Source organism: Homo sapiens, chromosome 4 (assembly GCF_000001405.40).
Source record: "Homo sapiens chromosome 4, GRCh38.p14 Primary Assembly".
NCBI lineage: Eukaryota > Metazoa > Chordata > Mammalia > Primates > Hominidae > Homo > Homo sapiens.
In genome coordinates, this window is record NC_000004.12 from 48,222,406 (window position 1) to 48,246,742 (window position 24,337).

General features: G+C 39.0%; 1 protein-coding gene across 6 annotated transcripts in view; it reads right to left on the reverse strand.

Annotated features, from left to right (window-relative positions):
• Positions 1-24,337, reverse strand: part of TEC (tec protein tyrosine kinase) — a 134,056-nt gene that overhangs the window by 86,623 nt on the left and 23,096 nt on the right. For 5 of the 6 annotated variants that reach the window (NM_003215.3, XM_047416106.1, XM_047416107.1 and 2 more), the window contains exon 2: positions 6,072-6,254. In NM_003215.3, coding sequence (NP_003206.2) covers positions 6,072-6,209 — 138 coding nt within the window. In that variant the 5' untranslated portion in view covers positions 6,210-6,254. Of the gene's footprint in view, positions 1-6,071; positions 6,255-24,337 lie in introns of those variants that run through there. The other variant, XM_011513737.3, reaches the window with a different exon arrangement.

Here is a 24,337-nt window from a genome sequence, read left to right on the forward strand (position 1 = left end):
ATCCACCTAAAACTGGGGTTGGGAGCTGCAATAAGCCTGCAGTAGAGAAAATTCACCGATATGATGCTTAATTTTATGTGTCAACTTGAATGGGCCATGGGGTACCCAGATTAAACATTGCTTCTGAGTGTGTCTGTGAGAGTGTTTCTCGGTGAGATCAGCATTTGAATCTGTGGACTCAGGAAGCAAACTGACCTCCCCAATGTGAGCAGGCATCATCCAACCCTGAATAGAACAAAAGGTAAGGAAAGAGGAATTTACCCCTTTTTCCTTGCCTCACTACTTGGGCTGAAACATCCCATCTCATCATCTCCTGTCCTCAAACTGGGATTCACATCACTGGCTGTCATGGTTCGCAGGCCTTCAGACTCAGACTGAACTACATCACCAGCTTTCCTGGGTCTCCAGCTTGCAGAGAACAGACTGTGAAACCTCTTGGCCTCCACAGTTGTGTGAGCCAATTCCTCACAATATATCTCCTTTTATGTACATACATACACACACATACACATATATATACATACCCATACATTATATCATATGTATATATCCCATATATATCCTTTTGGTTCAGTTTCTCTGAAGAACCCTGACCAATACAACAGGAACTGGTAACAGATCAGATGTGTGTTGGGGTTGAAATGCTGATGAAACGGAGGAGCTAACAGTTTGAAAAGATATTATGTGTCAATTATAAATTTAAAAATTAATTTGAAGAAAGTATAAAGACAATATATACACAAAAAAATGTTTAAACTATAGATTGGAGAAAATTATTTTATAAAGTCCAATGAGAGAGTGGTAGATCCAGGACAAAAACCCTCTCAAGTGTTAATTCTCTTCCATCACAAAGAAAATTTTTTTAAAGAAGTTATAACTGAAAGTAACAAACAAAAATATCCATGAAACTTTTAAAATGTTATCTGTATTATGGGGTGCTAACTTTAAGATGTTTAGATTTTTTTTTCAAATTTTCATTGGAATATCAAGATTATTTCAAAGATAGGCTTTGAAGAAATATACCTGCAATTTCTGGAAGGTGTGCGCAATCTCTTGTAAGCTGTATGTTGTGCAGGTTTTTAATTTTTCTAAGCCTTAGTTCTGCATTTTGAAATTAAGTCTAACAAGACTTAATACAGAATTGTTTTGAGAAATAAGAGAAATAATGCATGTAAAGTACTTAGCACAGTGGTTAATTTGTAGTTAGTGCTCAATAGGTTGTATCATTTTTACTACTAATGTGCAGAAAAGAGTTAACACAGCAGGCTTGAGGCTGCTGTCCCAAGAAAGGCCTGTTTACAAGGCTGATCCTTGCCTGGCATCTGGGAACTTGGACTTTGGGAGGGTCCCACTATTACCAACACTGATGAGGTGGCTCACTGTACCTAAACTGTACAATGCAGTTCATGCTGAAGACCTGCTTTCCTTCTGGAGTCTGGAACCTTGGTACACTAGGCATAGGACACCTGTGTGATCAGCCTCCAACAAAAACCTTGGGCACCAAGTCTCTAATAGCACATTTCACAATTGTCACAATTGGATGCTGGAGGAATTATGCACATCCTCTGGGACTCTACTAGGATAAGATTCTTGGAAGCTTATGCCTGGCCCCATGTGTCTTTTCCCTTTACTGATTTTGTTTTGTATCGTTTCGCTGTAATAAATCTAGTTGTGAGTATGACTCAATGCTGAGTCCTGTGAGCTGTCATAGTGAATCACTGAATGTACAGGTGGAGTTGGGAACCCTGGCACAACGAGTTTCCCCATTCCTTCAACTTTGTAAGTTATTTGCCAGCTTCCATGCTGGGGCAGTACAACAGACAAAAAGCCAACCAAATTAAGAGATCCAAAGTCCAATTCTAAAAATTCCTGATTTCTTAGCTAATGATAGTTGCAAATTTACATACTACTTCAATTTTTTAAATTCAACATCTCAACCTATAGAAATCAATTCCTCATTTTCTCTCTCACTATTATTTGTAGATCTTTTTCCTGATCAAACTCCAGTGCTGCTCTTCCTTGGTTCCCACCTCATTATCCCATGGAGCCTCCACTGAAACATTGGGTGGTCTGTCCCCTGTGTCATTTAGCCCCGTGACTAGAAAGCAACATCACTTATGAAACCTCCAGTGTCCTTTGCTCTGTGTTATCCTGAATAGGATCAAATAATATAAACTTCCAGGAAGATCTTTTTTCAGTTCATTTGGAATATGTGGAAATACACATGAATTAACTAACTACCATAAAGAAAGGAGGACAAACTAAAGAAGGACCCACAGCGGAAACTGAAATGCAAGTTTTGCAAAATTAGACTGAGGAAATGGTTTGAGTGAATTTCTCGTTATCTAGAATAGGATTTTTCAGCATATTTCAACAAGCACAGAAAGGTTTATTACATAATAGGAAGAATTTCAAGAAAAGCTTGCTGTCATCATGTTGAAGAAGCTGTCCAGAGAATAAGGAGAAGATGGACGTCTTCTGTCTAACATTATGAACTGAGAGTTTTAACGAGTATTAGTGGCACTTGGTAGCCACAAAGAAACCATAAATCATAGTTATTAGATCAATCGACAGCCTCCTCATTGTTTTTCTATTGAAAACAGGAGAACTATGAACAATAAAAATAAATATCTCTAGGGCTATTTTATTTCTGAATGGCCCCTGTGGTTCTAATTTACTTCTAGAGTCACATTTTTTTAACAAAATATTATTTTTAAAAACCTGTTGATTTGCACAGATTACTCATGTCACATCCTTTTTTTCTCTTTCTTTTTTTCTTTTCCTTTTTTAGATGGAGTCTCGCTCTGTTACCCAGGCTGGAGTGCGTGGTACAACCTCAGCTCACTGCAACCTCTGCCTCCTGGCTCCAAGCAATTCTCTTGCCTCAGCCTCCTGAGTAGCTGGGATTACAGGCACCTGCCACCACACCCAGCTAATTTTTTTGTATGTTTAGTAGAGACGGGGTTTCACCATGTTGGCCAGGCTGATCTCAAACTCCTCACCTCAAGTGATCCACCCACCTCAGCTTCCGAAAGTGCTAGGATTACAGGCATGAGCCACCACGACCGGCCCTCACATTCTTTTCCGAATCACAGCTTCCAGGGATAGGGAGATGGAAATCAGAAGATTGATCCACGGCAAACAGTGAACTGAGCACATTAGCACAAACATGGAAGAAACATAGCAACAAGGTGTTGCTGGCCATGCCTAGAAGCCAGGGAGAGCTGTTGGGGAATTCAGCCCAGCACTGTCAGAACTTTTGTTATTTTAAGAAGCCAGATTCTTACAAAGTTTCTTTTTTTTTCTTTTTTTTTCTTTTTTTTTTACTACTGACAATTATTTTACTATGAGAGGCAAACAAATCTGTGACCACATTTCAAGGCATAGGTCACAAGTATGCCAGTGAATGTTGGTCCATGAGAGAAGAAACCAGAAGGGATCAAAACGCCCAGCTCATCAGAGGAGTGGGGGTGAAGGCAGGAATTAAGTAACAGGACTAGGCTCTCTAGCCCAGGCAGCAGCAGCCAGAAAGGAGGTGGATTCTGCCAGGAAGTGTTAGAGGCTGGGTTTTTCTGTGTTGTGACTACCTCCTCATTCTGTCCTTTCTGGTTCTCAGGGTGGCTGAGGCTGCTCCAAGGCAAGATGGTGAGCGAGGTTCTGAAGGAAGAGGGATGCCACTGTTGTCCTTATTCCCCTTAAGCTAAACCAAAAGGGGTACTTTAAACTCAATATGTTTATCTTCTTCAAAGTGAGTTAGCAATTGCAATATATTTCAATAGTAACTGCCCATACTGCGAACCAAACAATGTCGGTTTCTGAGACTTTTTTCATTAGTAAAAAAATTGCATTTTACCACTTTCACTTCTTTTCTTAGACTTACTGCAGTTGACCCTTAAACAATATGGGCTTGAACTGCATGGGTCCATTGATAGAGGGATTTTTCTCTCAGTAAAAGTTACACTGAGTGTGCCTCACTCTCCTGCTTCCCCTTCAACCTCCTCCACATCTTCCCCCTCTGTCACCCCTGAGACAGCAAGACCAACCCCTCCTCTTCCTCCTCCTCAGCCTACTCAACGTGAAGATGGCAAGGAAGAAGACCTGTATGATGATCCACTTCCCGTTAATAAATAGTAAATCTATTTTCTCTTTTTTATGATTGTCTTAATATTTTCTTTTGTCTAGCTTACTTTATTGTAAGAATACAGTATGTTATATATATATAACATACCAAATATGTGGTAACCTACTGTTCATGTCCTCAGTAAGACTTCCAGTCAACAGTAGGCTATTAGTAGTTAAGTTTGCGGGGGGAGTCAAAAGCTATATGCAGATTTTTGACTGCACAAGGGTTGGTGTCCCTAACCCTACATTGACAAGAGTCAACTATATATTAAAATCAAATTATAACAAATTATTACCATACAGCAAAAATGTGTAAATGTTTCCTTTAAAATCTGTTTTAGGTTTCAAAATAATTCACATTTCTGGTAACAGTTCTTGTCTAAAACACTTCTGGATTTTTAAATTTTTTAGATTTAACAAAGCAAATATAGCACATATATCATATGTTACATAATAGTCCCAGCAGGGACTAGGGCAGCTCCACATAATTAAATACATTAATATTTCTGCACACATAGACATGTACAGATACACACACATACACACACACAGGTTTTGTAACTAAGAGTTTTGAGGTTTTGGTTTTCAGCATTTTGGGGACTTAAGGATAAAGGAGTATGCTCCTAAATTACATGAACCTGCAGAATACCACAGGTCACAATGACGAGCCACAGCAGAAATTAAGAGTTGAGGACCATCATGAAACACAATGCCATTCTATCTAAATTGGGGGAAACCAAATCACAGAGAAATCAGTGGGAGAAAAAAAATACAACTAAATCAACGTCTGAGGAAGATACTCTAGAAAAAAAACAGAATGAAAACTAAACCAGGGCCGGGTGCAGTGGCTCATGCCTGTAATTCTAGCAGTTTGGGAGGCCCAGGTGGGTGGATCACTTGAGGTCAGGGGTTCAAGACCAGCCTGGCCAATATGGTGAAACCCCATCTCTACTAAAAATCCAAAAATTAGCCGAGTGCGGTGGCATGCACCTGTAAATCCCAGCTACTCGGGAAGCTGCGGCAGAAGAATTGCTTGAACCAGGAGATGGAGGTTACTGTGAGCCGAGATCGCATCACTGCACTCCAGCCTGGCAACAGAGCAAGACACTGTCTCAAAAAAAAAAAAAAAAAAAACTAAACCAGGATCACCAACAGTCCACTGAAACCAATTGCATAACAGCATATGGTTAGCCATGGGCAACCCAGCCCCTGGTCATTTCCTGGAAACCAAGGATATTTCTAGCAGAGAAGGCAGTATGTGGCAGTACTAGCAAATGCCACACCCAACATGTCAGAAGCAAAAGAACCAGAGGTGATTGCACATTCAAGGCCTCATCTAGCAGTGGAAGGAGAAGCTAAAGCCACCCACAAGCCAGGAGTGTGCTAACCACACATTTGTCTGTGCCACGTGCTCACCGGCCAGGTTTTTTAGTGAGCTGCTTTCTCCCTGCTGCCATCGAAGAAACTTTGTAGTAGCTGTTTATCATTAAAAAAATGAATGTTTAAAAACTCTGCTTTAGGTCAACTTCGATAACGTGTTGAGTCCACCAAATCACCAACCAGTTTTAAGTAACTTCTACTTAATAAAGAAGAAATATTCATATAAAGTAATGGACTTGGATACAATTTATATTTGCTAAAGAAGACTTTGATACATAATAAGCGGTTTACAGGAGAGAGCCATATGTACAATGCACCTTACAAATTCCATGAGGATCTAAAAGTAATGTAATCTAATAGATTAATTCATAGGTTAATTATAATAAACCTATAATTAACAGATTTGTTAATTTCTATCCATACTCTGAAATTCATCTTTCAAGTCCAAATGATAATAAATCATTACTTCATTAACCCAAAGCATTTTCAATAAGATTGGAGAGGCAGGCAATATTATAAAATCGTTATCTACATAGAAAGCAGAAAAGTAAATCGTGATTGTCTCTTACCTCTGCTCGACCCTCATAGTAGGTTAGCATGGACTTTGTAAGTACAAAAAGTCTCTCTTTGTAGTTTAAGGGCGATGTCTTCTTTTTCTGCTGTGACCTTTTAATAAGAATCTCCTCCAAAATAGTGTTAAAATTCATCTCCGTCTTCTGATTACTCCTCCTGCCACTGAAGATCCCAGTATTCTACAGTGAAAAAAGAAACAGTTAAAATGTGACAGTTTAATTTTCTATGGATGTTGCCATTTCCAATTACCAAAATCAGCTTCACCCTCACCCCTGCTGGAGCAGATGAGTATTGATCTCTGTGCCCAAACTGAGAATGCCTGGGGCACAAAAATTCAATCTCCTCTCCTTTTCCAGTTTCCATCCTGCTCCTCCACATCTCATCATTTCATGAGAAAAATCTAATCAAGGTTCTTCATGATGATGATTCATTCCTTTTTACCTCCTAGTACCCTTAGCTTTCTGGTGCACTCCTACTATTTGATTGCAGGGAACAAGTATCTCATATGGAAAAGCACATTTCGTCACCTGTGTGGCTGATTTACACTGGCATTTGAATTGCTTCAGGATCTTGGTTCACAAAACAGATGACCTTACAGACACAGCCAACTCATGAACAAAATGAATTAGCATGGTGGTGGATATGATTCATACTCCAGCTCTGATAAGGATGTAATCTCAATGAAGCATCCTAGTTACCAGTGCCACAGGGATGTTCTCTGGTGTCTACACTACCATGCTCCAGAGTTCTCTTCCCTATGGCTCCTGTCTCCACCACAAGAGAAATGGAAACCTACCAGTCATAGTTAACCTGCTCAGGGCAGAGTCCACCTGGATAAGAAAGTCTCAGCCCTTTAACTCCAGACTATTCATACCTAGACTGAGCCTTTTAAAATTCAACACAATTTAACTATCTGAAAACCCAAAGACATTCAAAAAAGGCTTGAAGATTCATATTTGAGACAAGTTGAATTAACAACAGCCTCTCCTTCTCTTGCCTCCACTATGCCTTTAAAGAAGTAACTGTGGCTGGGCACAGTGGCTCACGCCTGTTATCCCAGCACTTTGGGCAGATCACTTTAGGTGAGGAGTTCAAGAGCAGCCTGGCCAACATAGCAAAACCTCATCTTTACTAAAATAACAAAAATTAGCTGGGCATGGTGGCGCATGCCTGTAATCCCAGCTACTCAGGAGGCTGAGGCAAGAGAATCACTTGAACCTGGGAGGTGGAGCGTGGAGTGAGCCAGACAGCACCACTGCACTCCAGCCTGGGTGACAGAGCAAGACTTCGTCTCAAAAATAATAATAAATAGGCTGAGCGTGGTGGCTCACGCCTGTAATCCCAGCACTTTGGGAGGCCGAGGCAGGTGGATCACCTGAGGTCACGAGTTTGAGACGAGCCTGGCCAACATGGTGAAACCCCGTCTCTACTAAAAATACAAAAAATTAGCTGGACATGGTGGCAGGTGCCTGTAATCCCAGCTACTCGGGAGGCTGAGGCAGGAGAATCGCTTGAACCTGGGAGGTGGAAGTTTCAGTGAGCCGAGATCGCACCATTGCACTCCAGCCTGGGCAACGAGAGCGAAACTCCGTCTCAATAATAATAATAATAATAATAATAATAAATAAATAACTGCATATTAAAGGACAGAGGCAAGAAGAGTCACATGAACAGCATGAAGTGGCTCTCAGACAGCACGGCCGGTGACTGGACACGGTTAGCCACTGAGGAATTCTACCATCTTCACACCCAATCCAACACCTCCAATGCACCCTTTAATTTCCTATTACTGATTGGTCATCATCCAATCAGGCCCCTCCATTTTCTATAAGGTTCCTTTACAACAGCTTCTCTCTGAACATCAGTTCCTTCATTTGTAAAGTATGGAAGGAAAGACCACAAGGTCAGTGTGAGGTTTAAATGAGATATGGGCAAGAACTGACCATGAAAATACTACGCAAATGTTTATCATTTTTAATTCCACGGCTATTTGCCTCGCTCAGAACATTATGACCCCACATCTGGACCATGAGAGTAGCTTCCCAATTGGTCTTCATTTCCTCAAGTTCTTGCCTGCTTTTATTCAAACTGCCTATCCATCACTCCCATTGGATCAATCTTCAAAGATTCAGCATTGCCATTTCACTCATCAGAAATCCTGAATGCCTCCCCACGACCTGCAGAGTAAAGCTAAAATTCCTTAGTCTGACACGAGAGACTGTCCACATTCTGGCTGCAGCCTACCAGTCCATCTTTACTTCCACCACACTCCAATCAAAATAGTCTTCCAAATCTCCGGAGATTCCCCTCACAGCATTCATTCCCTGGCCTAGTGGACTCTCTGCTTTCCACCTGTGAAGATATACCAGCTCAAAATTCCCCTCCTTGATGTAGTCTCTCCTAATGGCTCCTATTAATTAAAAGCCTTCCAACTCCTGGGCCATAATTTCTATCACTCATCATAGAGCTAATCATATTCTGCTATGTCTACAGCAATTAATGTACGTATTTTTAATTCTCACTTAGCTGTTAAGGAATGGTTCTCAACCTTAAGTGTGTATTAGAATCTAGGGAATTTCATTTTAATACAGATGTCTAGGCTCCACTTCCAGGTTTTTTTATTCAGTTGGTCTGGGGAGGAGCCCTGAGCATCATGATTTCATGTACTGATAGAATTGAGAGCCACTATCTTAAAGGAAGACACTGAACTCTTGTACCTCTTTATCCCAGTCCCAGTGTCTACAGTAGCCTCTCAGTAGCAGCTAAACCACAGAACTAATTAACCCAACAGCCAACTTAAGCTAAGGAGTCACAGGAAAGCTCTTGCCCTTTTTGCATCTAAGTTGGTCTTCCTTATTCCATATTAAAATTTTGGCACTCCATCCTTCTTTCCTAAGAAACTGTCAGAATGCAAATACCATTTCTCTGGAAATTATATTTTCATCTTTGTGCAACACATTTTCAAGGGTGAAAATGACTACTTATAAGAACAGAGGCCGGGCACGGTGGCTCACGCCTGTAATCCCAGCACTTTGGGAGGCCGACGCAGGCGGATCACGAGGTCAGGAGATCAAGATCATCCTGGCTAACACGGTGAAACCCCGTCTCTACTAAAAAATACAAAAAATTAGCCAGGCGTGGTGGCGGGGGCCTGTAGTCCCAGCTACTCGGGAAGCTGAGGCAGGAGAATGGCATGAACCCAGGAGGCAGAGCTTGCAGTGAGCCAAGATCGCACCACTGCACTCCAGCCTGGGCGACAGAGCAAGACTCCGTCTGAAAAAAAAACAACAAAGAATGGATACCAGGGAAGAGCAAGCGATGCTCTCATAAACGGGCCATGTGTAGACATGTAGTTCCCAACACAGTGAGCAATACCATTGTAAACAAATGGAAGGCAGACTTTTGGAAGGCCCAAAGGATAAATGGGGCAGGACTTATATGCAGTTCTAGAAGCAAAAGGTCTCAACATCAGGGGCAGAAAAAACATTCATGTTGAATGTCCTGGGGAAAAAAAATCACCTTATCTGTCCATGTGCGGTGGCTCATGCCTGTAATCCTAGCACTTTGGGAGACCAAGGCAGGAGGATCACTTGAGGTCAGGGGTTCAAGACCAGCCTGGTGGAAATGGTGAAACTCCATCTCTATTAAAAATACAAAAACTAGCTGGGTGAGGTGGCGGGTGCCTGTAGTCCCAGCTACTTGGGAGGCTGAGGCAGGAGAATCGTTTGAACCGGGGAGGCAGAAGCTGCAGTGAGCAAAGATCACGCCATTGTGCTACAGTCTGAGTGACAGGGCAAGACTCTGTCTCAAAAAAACAAAAAAAACAAAACAAAAAAAAAACACCTTATCTGACATATGTGTGATTACTACTCTTATACAGAATCACACCATTTAAGTTGAAAGGAATCTTAGTCACCATCTATCTCCCTCAAGAAACTGAAGTTCAGAAAAGTTAAATGGCTTACTCAAGGTCACACAAGCCAAGACTAGAAAAAAGTCTCCTAGTTCCTACTTACGGGCTTTCCCTATCCTTCTATCCCATACAACTAAAGTTCACCACTGTTGTTATAATTCATTGGCCAATGGGAAGTCCTGGCCAAGAAATCTACTAAAGTTCAGAGAGATACAAATGAAGGAAAAGTCTCCTCATGTAGACTTCCAGCCAAAGATAGAGTGTTGAATGCACACTTCACATTGGCTCCTTCCTGAAATTCCATTAAAAACAGTTACATTGTTGTTGTTAAGGAACTGACTCTCAAGGAAATAGAAAACAAAAAAGGAAACAACAATAGAATTTTGGAAACTGGAAAACAAATAAATATGTGCCAGGTCCCACCAAGGGGAAGGCTGGAAACAACCCAATTTCTTCTGCAAAACATCCAAATAGCTCAAGAATCAGAAGAATATGGTATCTCTAGAAGTTGTGATGGAGAAGGAATTAAAGCAGAAGAATTGTTGGCAAATCAGTTTAATAAAGAGAGTCCCCGATCCTCTCCACTTCCATGCCATAGATCTAGGTGACTAACCCTCCTCAACCCTGGAAGAAAACTAGAGGTTTATTTCGGAAGACTATAAAACACAGGGTCTCTATCCTGGGAGAGACTAAGTGCAGCTGCAGCTGGGAATACCACACTGAAAAGGAGGAGCTTAAGTGAAACTGTACAAGTGTCCATATCAATGATGAGGCTAGTCAGCTCTCTTCTCCCATCTGGCTCCAGGACATCAGGACTGGACTAAGGGAAAAGTCTTGAAGACACAGACATAGAAGTGTCCCCAAAAAAATGGCACAGCCAGACTACCCTATAGTTAAGCCCACAGTCAGCAAGGCCCACTACCATGCATGAAGCTTCCAATTGACACTTTTTTTTTTTTTTTTTTTTAAAGACAAGGTCTGGCTATGTTGCCCAGGCCGGACTCAAATTCCTGGGCATAAGTGAACTTCCTGCCTCAGCCTCCCCAAGTAGCTGAAACTACAGGTGCACATGACCACGCCCAGCTCAACTGACTTTTTAAAGTCCCACTCTGATAAATGAGAGAAAGCCAAGGATCACCCCAGACAATTGAGGAAAAATTATAATATGAATCTAAGGTCAAAGAACAAATGCAAAAAAAGGGCAAGTTGGAAGAAACAAAAGTTGTACAGAAAAAAAGAAAATGTTAAAAAAAACTCAACAAAATCAAAGAATTAAGGGAAATACATGCATGAAACAAGGTCAAGACACAGCCAAAATAAGAAATAGAGCCAAAAAAACAGGAGCTACTAGAAATCAAAAATAAAATGACAGAACTTAAAAACTCAATGGAAAAGTTAGAACATAAAATTGAGAAACTCTCCCAAAAAAAAAAAAAATTAAGACGCAGAAAACATAATGGAATTACAGAACTCACTCAGAAAGTTCAGCATCTAAAAACCAGAAGTTCCAGAAAGAGAAAGCAAAGAAAACAGAATGAGAAAACAATCAAAGAAAATTTTTAGGAAAATTTCTTCAAACTGAAGGTTATTTTCAGATTGAAATACTACCAAATTAAGGCAACTCTTGTAAAATTTCACAACTATGGGGATAAGCCAAATATTAAGCAAGCTTAAATGTAAGTTTCATTGAAAGCATCAAAATTCAGAATGGTAATCATCAAGGGTAATGCCAGAGAGTAGAAGACAATGAAGAAAAACTCAGAAAGAAAGTGATTTCTAATCAAAAATTCTATACTCAGCCAAAGTGCCAATGAAGTGACAGGAGAATAAAGACGTTTTTCAAATATGCGCAAGGCTTTAACAATTTTCTCTTATCCACCTTTCTCAAAAAGCTACTTGGGGATGTAGCCAAAATACCAAAACAAAGCAGGAAACCAAAAAAGCAAAAACCACAAGAATTTAGGAAACAAACATTCCAACATAAGAAAGAGGTAAAGGGACCCCCTCCCCCAATAGATGATGAAGGGAAATCCCAAAATGAATGACACTGAGCAGCTGGCCAAGAGTACAACCAGTCCGGATTGGATCAAGTAAGGAGGTTCTTCCAAAGAATTCTTCTAGGAAACAAAACTGAATGTATGGGGAGAAGATTTATAATAAGTTAGTAAAATTTAGCCAATTTTAAAAAACAAAATAATTCCAAAGGAAAACAAAAAATTGTTTAGAAAAGGAAAAATAATCACAGGTATGCTACAGAGTTCTGCTACAAATAACAACTACACCGTCATAATCAGGTAAACAATAGTGATAATCTTACTACCAATATAAATACATTGGGTGTGAGAGCAGGAAGTATGCTCCCGTGTGGGTGGGGGAGTACTTTATGAAAGAGAGCTATTTCCTCCATGGTAGTAGGAGGAGAAGGAGGAAAAGGTAGCAGAGGAGAAGAAGGAGGAAACCAATAAATAATATCTACAATTGAAAAAGCAAGAAGTAGCAATGTAAAGCATGTTTAGAGACTGTCAAGAGACAAAATGACAACAAATTTAGTAAAAGTGACTTTTACTCACAATTCATGAGTCAGGGTAGCCTCTACTCTGTAAAATAGAATGAGAGCTCCCACTGGGCCAGGGCAGAACCATGGATTTTATAAGGTGGGAACAAGGAAACAGAATAATAGGAAAAAAAAAAAGCTGATTAGTAACATCAAGTTACTTCAGGTTACTTTTTTTGGTAAAGATTAAAACAGAGGGGACTTCCTTATTAAACTGATTCACGTAGACTGTAATCTTCTGTTTTCAGGGGGGAAAATGGTCTATTTGGGGATCTACCTGCTCCCTTAAAGCTTCAGTTTGATTATGCAGCATTTAGCATGGGTGACTCCATTTCTGTTTGGTCTGGTTTGTTGGGGCCTAGTACAGGAGCTCAGTCCAAAACAATGGCCTCCCATAATTTTTGTTTAATAAGATACAATGAGATGAAAAAGTTTGAAAAAATGAAAATGATTCCCTCTGAAAATCAGAATATCATTGGAGAATAGCAGTGGAAAGGTATATGTTCTACTCTTCTACCCTAAATAATAAAACATAAAAACCAGAGGAAGAGAATCCCATCTTCAAAGAAATAAAAAGACAGCCTTCAATCCCAAACTACAAACTATGAAATACCTGCTAAATGCTGTGAAATCTGGACCAAAATGGGGGAGGAGGCTGAGGGTAGATTTTCCTAAAAGTAAACATCATTGTCCTGAGAGGTCAATCTAATAACCTTTTGATAAGATCAGTGAAATCCGGAGGAATAAGCAGACCATAGGGGAATCCAGGAGTATCCCTATGGAATTACTATTCACACAGAAAAATAATAAAAAATCATTATCATTATCATTATTAAGCTTTTACTACTTGGCACTGTCCCAATCACTAAGCACTTTCAATGTATTGAATCACTTCATTCTCTCAACAACCTTCTGAAGTATGTACTAGTACTGTCTACACTTTACACATCACAAGGTAAGAATAAGAGCCAGGTTTTAATTTAGGCAATACAATTGCAGGGCCTACACTCTTCACTACACTATACAACTTCTCTAGTGGAAAGGAAGGTGGAATGGAAGGAAAAAGTTTAATGAGGTGTCACTTCCAGTCTCCTAGTTTAGGAGACTGCTAAGTGCAATTGGATTCAATCTCCAGATTTCAACAGAGATAGCCTATGACTTTCAGGGCATCATTAAGAGCCACAACAAACTCTTAATACGAAAATTGAAGGGAGATGTCCCCTCTGAGAAAGAAAATAATAGGTTTGATGTTCTAAATTTTAAAATGAAGATGAAACAAAACTTCAGGATTCCAGCTTTCTCTCCTAGCCGTTACTAAGGATTACAAACAGCTTTTTTTTTTGTTTTTTTTTGAGACGGAGTCTCGCTCTGTCGCCCAGACTGGAGTGCAGTGGCGCAATCTCGGCTCATGGCAAGCTCCACCTCCCGGGTTCACGCCATTCTCCTGCCTCAGCCTCCCGAGTAGCTGGGACTACAGGCGCCCGCCACTACGCCCGGTTAATTTTTTTGTATTTTTAGTAGAGACAGGGTTTCACCGTGTTAGCCAGGATGGTCTCGATCTCCTGACCTCGTGATCCACCCGTCGCGGCCTCCCAAAGTGCTGGGATTACAGGCGTGAGCCACCGCGCCGGGCCACAAACATCTTTTTTAAATAAAACTCGACTGCAACATAAACCCCTTTTCTATCTCATTGGAGTTGAACACAAGAGTACTATTCCCTTTGCCTTGGCGGCTAACTGCTAAAATTCTGAACATTTTAACACATTGTCTTTGAACACTAATATTCTGAGGTAGACAACAGAAACTGTCACTGTATCACCGGTGAGAAACACAAACCACCAAAGTTATACTGTCTATCCAGCGTTGCAAATCTGAATATCTGACTAATACTCAGTTTCACAGTCCAGCAATTTTAGCCAACAGTTCTTAAAACCTTTTTCATCATGAAAAATTCTGCCTAAAAACAAATAATTTTTTATGGATATGCCAATGGCCCTGATCTGATCACTATGCATTGTACATATCAAAACATCACTATATGCCCCACAAATATGTACAATTATTATTTGTCAATTAAAAAATAAAATTAAAATAAGAAAATAGGCCAGGTGCGGTGACTTACGCCTGTAATCCCACCACTTGGGAGGCTGAGGTGGGCAGATCACTTTAGGCCAGGAGTTCGAGACCAGCCTGGCCAACATGGCAAAACCCTATCTCTACTGAAAATACAGTCGTGTTGGCATGCACCTATAGTCCCAGCTACTTGGGAGGCTAAGGCATGCAAATAGCTTGAACCCGGGAGGCAGAGGTTGCAGTGAGCCAAGATCGTGCGACTGCACTTCAGCCTGGGTGTTGGAGTAAGACTCTGTCTCAAAAAAAAAAAAAGAGAGAGAGAGAAAATAATAATTTTTAAAAAAATAGCTGGTGACTAGAACAGCCTATCCTAGTCAATATGACTTTTCATACTATTTTAAGTCAAGAGAACAGAGGTGCTAAATGGGAAAGAAAATCAGAGACAAAAGAAAACAAAAGTGACTGTGAGTTACCAAATGATATTATGGAATGGACTATAGTAAATAAGAAAAAAAGGGCCCTGATAACAGAGTGGGGAAAGGATGGACTATTTATAAGAGCAAGCAAAGAGTGATTAGAGGTTGTTGAAATTCTCATCTTATTAGGTTAAGTCATTTACTATGTGCCACATTTTGCCAATATCCAGCAGTATTTTACCTACAGAATTAGCAATATTATATAATTCAATTTAATACTTGGTGATGTCCTCATATTATTAAAACTTAGTTAAAGCCCTCAGTTCACAAACTTCTACATCAGAACAGGTGACCTTATTTCACATCTCATCACAGGTTTATGACAAAGTTACCATTTGCAATCTCATCACAAGTTTGTGACAAAGTTACTATTTGTTTGCAATTTTAGGAAATTTGTGCAAATAAACATCAAACCGACCTTAATCTGAGAAATCAAATGCTGTGGTGCCTGTCAACAGTATCAGGTTATATTTCAATTCAAAAGTACCAAAATGCGTAGCTATTATATAAGAATAAATCTTACCACATATTCTTCTGCAATATATACTCTCAGCTTAAAGCCCCAAATTTCTTTTGTAAAAGGGGATTAAATAGCAGAAATACAACAAAGGAAAAAAATACTAGGATGAGTTCAATCAAAATAGAGTACATTCTAGGCTCCCCATTTAACGTCATGAATTGGAGCTATTCCAGGATTAGGCAATGTTTTCGTGCTCAGAAGGAAGTAACACTGTACACCTCTGTCTTCCTGAGCTATTAAACAAAAGCACCATGTGATAACCTGTATTTTCTTAAAGTCTTATATATTTCTCCTTTCAGCCAGTTGATATGCAGCAGGCTATAACGTTTTGAGTATTCATCTGCTAACCTGTTGAAGGTAGACACCTTGAACAGCACCAAGAGATCTGCATAAAACCCTTATCTTTCACTATCAATAGCATCTAAAGAGAGGATAAGAGAAGTCCTCTTAGGACAAAAGGCAAAAGTTGAAAGGCCGGCTGATTTCTCATCTCTCCTGATACTATATCCCCTACCCCAGTCCACTACCATAGGGTAGGTGATTATAGCACTGGATTAGGGGACATGTGAACCTAGAAACAGACTGAGAGTGCTGCCCTAGGAATAGTTGTTTCTTATTGTCCATATGCAGATATATGCATTACATATATAAATTTATGTAAATTTATATATATGTATATAAATTTATATATTTATATGTATTTATATATTTATATTTCCCAGCCTTCTTTGCAGTAAAGTGTGGCCATCTGACTAAGTTAAGACCAAAAAGATGTGTGGTAGAAGTTATATGTACTCCTTCCAGGCCATTTTCAACTTAAAGACAAGCTACTTCCCTGGATTTAGGGCATTTTCCAGCCTCCGACTGGCAGACTCAACTTCCCTTATGCATCCCAGCATTACTCTGAAGGTGGGGAAGAAACAAGATGGAGCCTGATCCTGGAATGACTTAATGGAGCAGAGGCTAGACTAGTTCACTTACTTTGTGAGAGACAAGTATATTTCTATCTTATTTTAGAAATTATATATCATGGTATCTTTGTTATAGTCGGTTAACATTTATTCTATGGAACAGGAAAACCCTTGCAAAAACTGGTAAAACTTTCTAATGCTTTTGAAAAAAAAAGCTCTCTTTCAAATTGTGCTGACAAACTCACACGTAAAAGAAGTCAAAATTTTGATTAAAATTTTGTCAGAAAATGATATCAAGAAAATACTAGATTCACTCTTTTTCCTATGAATTAGTTATAATCTAAATGGTTCTAAATATGAGGTAAACATATTTTCACTTTAGTTTTCAGGATAAAGTCTGAATCATTCCAGGTTTTTTCTCTTTTACTGTTTACTGTGAAATGTAACTGGATTCACTTTAAGTGGCAAATTCTGACACCAATTCTCCTCTGATAAGGGAATTTCTTGTATAAAACGAATATTTGTCTATTTCTTGCTACTGCAGAGGGAAACAATACAAGTGAAAATAAGATAAAACAAATTTCTCAGTGGGTACAGTGATTTTCAGGGCCTTTTACTAGGAGAAAGCATCAGAGTAAAGAATGTTTGGAAATTATATATAAGATAATCAAATGCCAATGTTTGTTCCTTGGCCACAGTATTCTGTTATTTTTAATATGAAACATTCATCCGTGTCTATATATTCTTTTCTCAATGTTTTTAAAATAGGAATGAAGAGTCCAAGTCATTAGTACATTCAATTTTTTTTTACAAATGAGAAACTTTCCTTAACAAAAAAAAATTTAAGAACAAAAATAAAAGAGAGAGATTCAGGAGGGTCTGACATATATTTAGTCTTAAGAGACCTCTCAACTGAAATGTATGAGACAATTATGGCAACTTGAATACTAACTCAATATTGTTGATATTAAGGTTCATCGGTAATATTTGTTTGATGATATGAGGATTTGATGATATTAAGATAGTGTTCAGTTGTTTATGATTTGCTCTGTGAGTGTGTGTGTGTGTGTGTGTGTGTGATGGTATGGTGATTATATTTTTCAGAGTTCTTATCTTTTAAAGATATATACTGAAAAATTCACAGATAAAATAATGTCTGTGATTTGCTTCCTAATCTGAAGGGTATGGAAGAGTATAGACAAAATAAAATTGTTCATGAGTTGATAACTATTGAAGTTTAGTGATAAATACTAGGGGTTCCTTATATCATCCTATTTTTACTTATGTTTGAAATTTTCCACAATAAAAAGTGTTTAAAACATATTTACAGGAATAACATAGTTTTCCATGTCCCAGTCATCAAACACTTCAGAGTTGATAAGAAAAAAGAGAAAAGGGTAAAAGCAGGAAGAGAAAGGAGGGAGGGGGAAAAAAGCACCAAAACAGACAAACAACACAAGAAAAAGGTGGATGGGCTCACCTTCCCCAAGGACCATTATTACTGCCCTACCTACCTCATCACAAATACCTTCCAATGGTCCCGGTGATTCCTGTGAGCCAGCAGAGCCTTGTGCTAATGTAATCTGCGCTACCTCTTCTCAGACATAAAGGAATATGTGATTTCTAGCTCCCAAAAATAAAACCACAGTCTAATGCAACAGTTGAACTCATTATAACTCCTCTCTTCCCTCTATGTCCTTTCCATTTCCCTGTTCAAGTTCATGAAAGCTGAAGTTCTTTTTCAAGTCTACATCATGATAAAAAGATTCTCTACAGACCAACAAAGTCCCAAAGCACAGTGGGCAGTCAGGCAAAGTGAGTATATTCAAATGGCAGACTTTTTATAAAAGAATCATTAGAAAGATTACCAAAGGTCGGCATCATAACTGGAACTGCAGAACACACTAGATCATAAAGGCACATTTGACCAGACAAGTATCTGCCCTTATTTCTAAAGCTTATGGAGCTCAGTTAATGAAGAATTTCAAAAACTGAAATGCCAGCCATTACATACCTGATCCCTAACAGGAAAAAAAAAACTGTTAAAAACACTAATTTGATAGAAAACATTCTCATAGATGATTTGTAACAAATAAAAATTATCAACTATACTCAAAAAGTATCATGGATGTATGTCATAATCTAACTACTGTTTGGAAAGTGTCTAATGACATTGTCATATGTCCCATCTCTGAGGAAGTAAATTGATAATGAACTTTCCTGTTCTTTGCTCTATTCATCATTGTCATTATCTGGTCCACTTATAATATGTAGTGCTGCTGTTTCTGTTTTTTTTTTTAAATACCTGTAAATTCACTGACACTCTTCTCATGGGTCTATGTCACCTCCCCTTGAATTGGAGTAGGCTTATGACTCCTTTGACTAATACAGTATAGTAGAAATGTCTTGAGACTAGGACATAAAAGCCCAAGTAGCCCTGCTTGATTTTTTTGGACGTCTAGCTCTTTGAATATTCTCCCTCTTGGAACCCAGCCACCATACTGAGAAAAGCTCACTGCAAGGAGAGAAATCACATACAGTTCTATTGCAGAATTACTGCTGAGCCCAGCCTTCAAATCATCTCAGCCTAGAAGCCAGACACATGAGTGAGAGACCTTCAAATGATTCCAGCCCTTTGTGGTTCAAGTCACCCCCAGCCATTAAAGTTTTCCAAGATAAGAGCCTTGACATCCCCACTGTGCACTAATTCTTAACCTCCAGAATTCATGAGGGTGATAAAATGGTTGTATCCCTTTAAGTCTTGGATGGTTTCTAACACAGCAGAAGTTTACCAGGACATATAATATATGATAGCATTCTTGACCACCTCATTCTTGTTTCATTCATCTCTTATCCTCGTCAATTTTCTTCCTTCCCTCAAATGTTTCCTCTTCTTCACTCAACCATCTTTTTACCATTTTCAGTTCATGAGCTAATTTGTCCACAGAAATAATTTGAGACATTCATGATTATTTATTCTGACATTTATTGCACAGTCATGATGTATTAGGAACCATGCATGAGGCACTAAGGTGGTTAACAAAGATGAACAAGAAATGATCTTTGTTCTAGAGAAGAATGTGAAAAGAGTACCTTAAAAACAACGCATGACATTACAATCTATTAAGGACTTTAAAAGTGGTAATGTGCAGTGTCTGGCTACATTGGTAAAATAAGTCAATGTCCAATTTCTTCCAGTGCTGTGTGAAATTCTGAAAATCAAATTTACTTATATAAGCAATATGGACCCACAACAAAATAAATTAATGTTTGTGTACATGTTACACGTATACATAAATCTCAATTCCATTACATATCAATTTCTCAAAAGCATATTTCCAAGTCTTCTTTTCCCTCTGAGTATTCTGTCTTACACAAGCCACACAAAATAAAATATAATATTTGGCCTGATCTAGCACCCAGAACACTGCCTGAAATATATTGGGTATTCGGTAAGTATTTATCGGATGACAATGATTTCACTTTATCTAGCTTGCTGGTATTTACTTCAGAAGCCAAATCTCAAAGGTAACAGAAGCGTCTACTTCAGATCTTTCACCATGTGTAGTTCCTCCTACTATCAGTGGGCAAATCTGAAAGAAAACTCTTATTTCAAAAGCCACACAGATAAGGAGGGACCATTGTATATTCATTTGCATCTTAAATTAGCAAAGTCTTGGAATCATAAGTTAACAAACAACTTACAGGATCCTTTTTTCTCAGAGATGCCCCTGATGATGAATTCTGTCCTATGCAGGAAGTTCTTTTTTTCTGAGGGGGACCAGAAGCTCAGAGATACTATCTCCAATGTGTGAAGTGATGGTATTTCAACCAAGCTCTCATGCTCTTGTCTCTTTAATATGACAAGTTTTTATCTACCATTATTCTAAATTTTCTATTAATATATAAAGTGAGCCTCATGATGTAAAGGAACACTCTCTGCCCTTAACTGACAAAGCAACTGAGGACCAAACTTACAAACTCTGTGGGTCTTGTGATATCTGTAAGATTAATGGGGCTGAGGCTGATGAGCTCTAATGTTGTCTTTAGCCCCCAAATGTAATTATTCTATGTAGCTTGATCTAGAAACCCACTTGTTCCTCATTTTACTACTGTGTTAAACAGAAAATTCAACCACTGAGAGGGCAGGCCTGTACCTTTTGATATATTAAAAGACCCAATTTTTAATCTATTTCCTGAGACTGCTGGAGAAGACATAAGCAATGGTTCTTTAAACATCATCCCGAAGATCTTTTTTTTCCTGATGTCACCTGATGTCCAGTATCTTATTTCACTCATTATTTTTACTGGAAATTCTGGCCAAGAACCCTGATTTTAGTGGAAGTAACTTAAACAGGTAAGTCTGCTTAACCTGGCTGTAAATCTTAGCTTTGCCATTTATTTGCTGCATAACTTTACACAAGTTACTTAATTCCTTAGAGACTGCTTTCTTATCTGTAAAATGAGGATGATGATGATACCAACTCTAAAGGATTGTCCTGAGAAGTAAGAGAAATGCACATAAAATTCCTTACACGCAGCAAACACTCAGGAAAGCAATTGGTCAGTTGGTCATTGCCTCATCTTTATTCTGTATTGGTTCACATTTACACACTCAACAACTGCTAACTGAACACCTGCTAAATGCCAGATATGTTATCAAAATAAAACATAAAACATGGCCATTAAGATACTCATACCCTAGTAAAAGGGACAGACACAACAGAAGCTAACAATTTCATTACCATGTGATCAGTGCTAGACCACAGATGGTTACAAGCTTCAACTCTGCCTGGAGATAAGAGGTGGAGAGATCACTCTTAGGTGGGAATTGAACAATGAGAACAGTTGGACACAGGGCGGGGAACAACGCACACTGGGGCCTGTTGGGGGTTGGGGATCTGGTGGGGGAATAGAATTAGGAGAAACAACTAATGTAAATGACAAGTTGATGGGTGCAGCAAACCAACATGACACATGTATACCTATGTAACAAACCTGCATGTTGTGCACATGTACCCTAGAACTTAAAGTATAATTAAAAAAAAAAAAAAAGAGGTAGAGAGATAACCAGCAAAGGTGATGCCTGGGCTGGGCTAAAAAGCTGAGTAAGTTGGTAGATGGCAAGGCAAAGGCACATCCCAGGCCAAGGGCTCAGTGTTGTGAAATACAAGATGAGTATGAAGAAATACAAAAAGTAAGAAACAGCTTATATTAATTTAAATATATCCATTTTAATACTCCTTCCTCTCCCCACACTCAATCCACATATACACGTTTCTACTATTTAAAAGAAACTAAAACCCTGTATTACTCCATTTTCACACTGCTGATAAAGACATACTCGAGACTGGGCAATTTACAAAGGAAAGAGGTTTAATTGGACTTACAGTTCCACGTGGCTGGGGAAGCCTCACAATCATGGTGGAAGGCAAGGAGGAGCAAGTCACATCTTAACGTGGATGGCGGCAGGCAAAGAGAGGAGCACTTGTGCAGGGAAACTCCCCTTTTATAATCATCAGATCTTGTAGACTTATTCACTATCACAAGAACAGCATCGGAAAGACCTGCCCCATGATTCAATTACTTCCCACTGGGTCCCTCCCACAACACGTGGGAATTCAAGATGAAATTTGGGTGGCAACACAGCCAAATCATATCAAACCCAAAATGACTTCTTTCCAGTCTTATGTTTATTTCTTCACTCATTTTTCAACAAAACATTTTATTTAAACTCTACTGTATATCAGGTACTGTGACAGGGATATAACATTCCACATGGAAAACACAAGCTCTGCCTTCCCCAAGCTCACACTTCTGTGGAGTTTTGATCTAATTCCTCAAAGAGCCTTCCCCTGCAACATCCTTCTTCTCAAATACCACACACAGGACAGAGAGATATCATATCTAAGCCATTAGACAGCTGACTATGAGAGCTAGGCACTCTAAGATTAGAGATCATTGGATTCAAACTTCTCAATTGAGAGGTGAAATAATTAAAGCCCAAACAGGCAGAGTTGAGAGATATCACCTCCCTCCCTTTGTTCATTAATACAGTTATTAATATCTTAATCTTTAAAAATTAGGCCGAGCACAGTGGCTCACGCCTGTAACCCCAGCACTTCCGGAGGCCGAGGCGGGAGTATCACGAGGTGAGGATATTCAGACCATCCTGGCCAACATGGTGAAACCCCATCTCTACTAAAAATACAAAAATTTGCTGGGTGTGGTGGTGCGTGTCTGTAATCCCAGCTACTCAGGAGGCTGAGGCAGGAGAATCGCTTTAACCAGGGAGTCGGAGGTTGCAGTGAGCCGAGATCGCGCCACGGCACTGCAGCCTGGCAACACAACGAGAGTCCTTCTCCAGGAAAAAAAAAAAAAAATTAAACATTGACTATAACTATTGTTTGAGAACTCTAGATTAAAATTATGAGTTTTCCAAATGTCATCCAAAAAGACTTCACGTACACGTGTATACACACATACACATACACACACAAACACACATACACAAAAAAATCACACAGTCCTTTAAAGCTTCACCCCACCCAGTATTTAATTTCATTAAGTAAGTTTATACACAGAAAACACTTAGAATAGTTACCTGGCACATAGATGCCATTTAAGTGCTTGCTATCAGTATTACTGTTTTAACTTAATCTTCATAGCATTACTATTACTATTAATCGCTAAAACATTAAAATGGACAGAGTAGATGGCACTTTGACAGGTACAATTTTATAAATGAATAAATAAAAGCTAAGATAATATAGCCAAAATTATAAACATAATAATAACACCTTTGAGACTAGAAATCTAGTATCCTCATTCCCCGACTTCTAGGAAAAAAGTCTGGCTACATTAAAATAGCTGAAGAGCTACATTAAAAACATTTACTTTGGGCCAAGCACCGTGGCTCATGCCTGTAATCCCAGCACTTTGGGAGGCAGAGGAGGGTAGATCACTTGAGATCAGGAGTTTGAGACCGGCCTGACCAGCATGGTGAAACCCATCTCTATTAAAAATACAAAATTATCCTGGCATGGTGGCACACACCTGTAATCCCAGCTACTCGGGAGGCTGTGGCACAAGAATCACTTGAACATGGGAGGTAGAGAGTGCAGTGAGCCGAGATCACGCCACTGCACTCCAGCCTGCGTAACAAGAGTGATACTCCATCTCAAAACAAGAAAAATTATTTTTACGGATTTATCATTTTTATCTTGTCTACCTACAGAGAGAAATTGAGACATGTTTCAATAAAAAAAAATGCAGGAACAAAATTTAACCAAGGAAGAATGAGATTTTTGCACGGCAAACTACAAAACATTGTAGAAATAAATTTAAAAAGACTTAAATAAATGGAAAGACATCCCACATTCGTGGATGAAAGACATGATATTGTTAAAATGGCAATGCTTCCCAAATGGATCTACAGATTCAATGAATTCTCTATTAAAATCCCAACAACCTTTTCTGCAGAACTGGACAAGGTGATTCTAAAACCCATATAGTAAAATTAATAGACAAAACTATCTTGAAAAAAAAAAAAGAACAAAATTGGAGGACTCACACTCCCAATTTTAAAATTTACTCTAATGGCATAGCAATCAAAACTGTGTAGTACTCCATAAGGATAGATATATAGATCAACAATACAGAATTAAGGGTCCAGAAATAAAATCACACAACTGTGGTCAATTATTTTTGACCAAGATGTCAAGACCATCCAATGCGGAAAGAAAAATATTTTCAACAATGGTATAGGGATAACTGGATACAAATAAATTTGGACCTCTACCTCACACCATATAC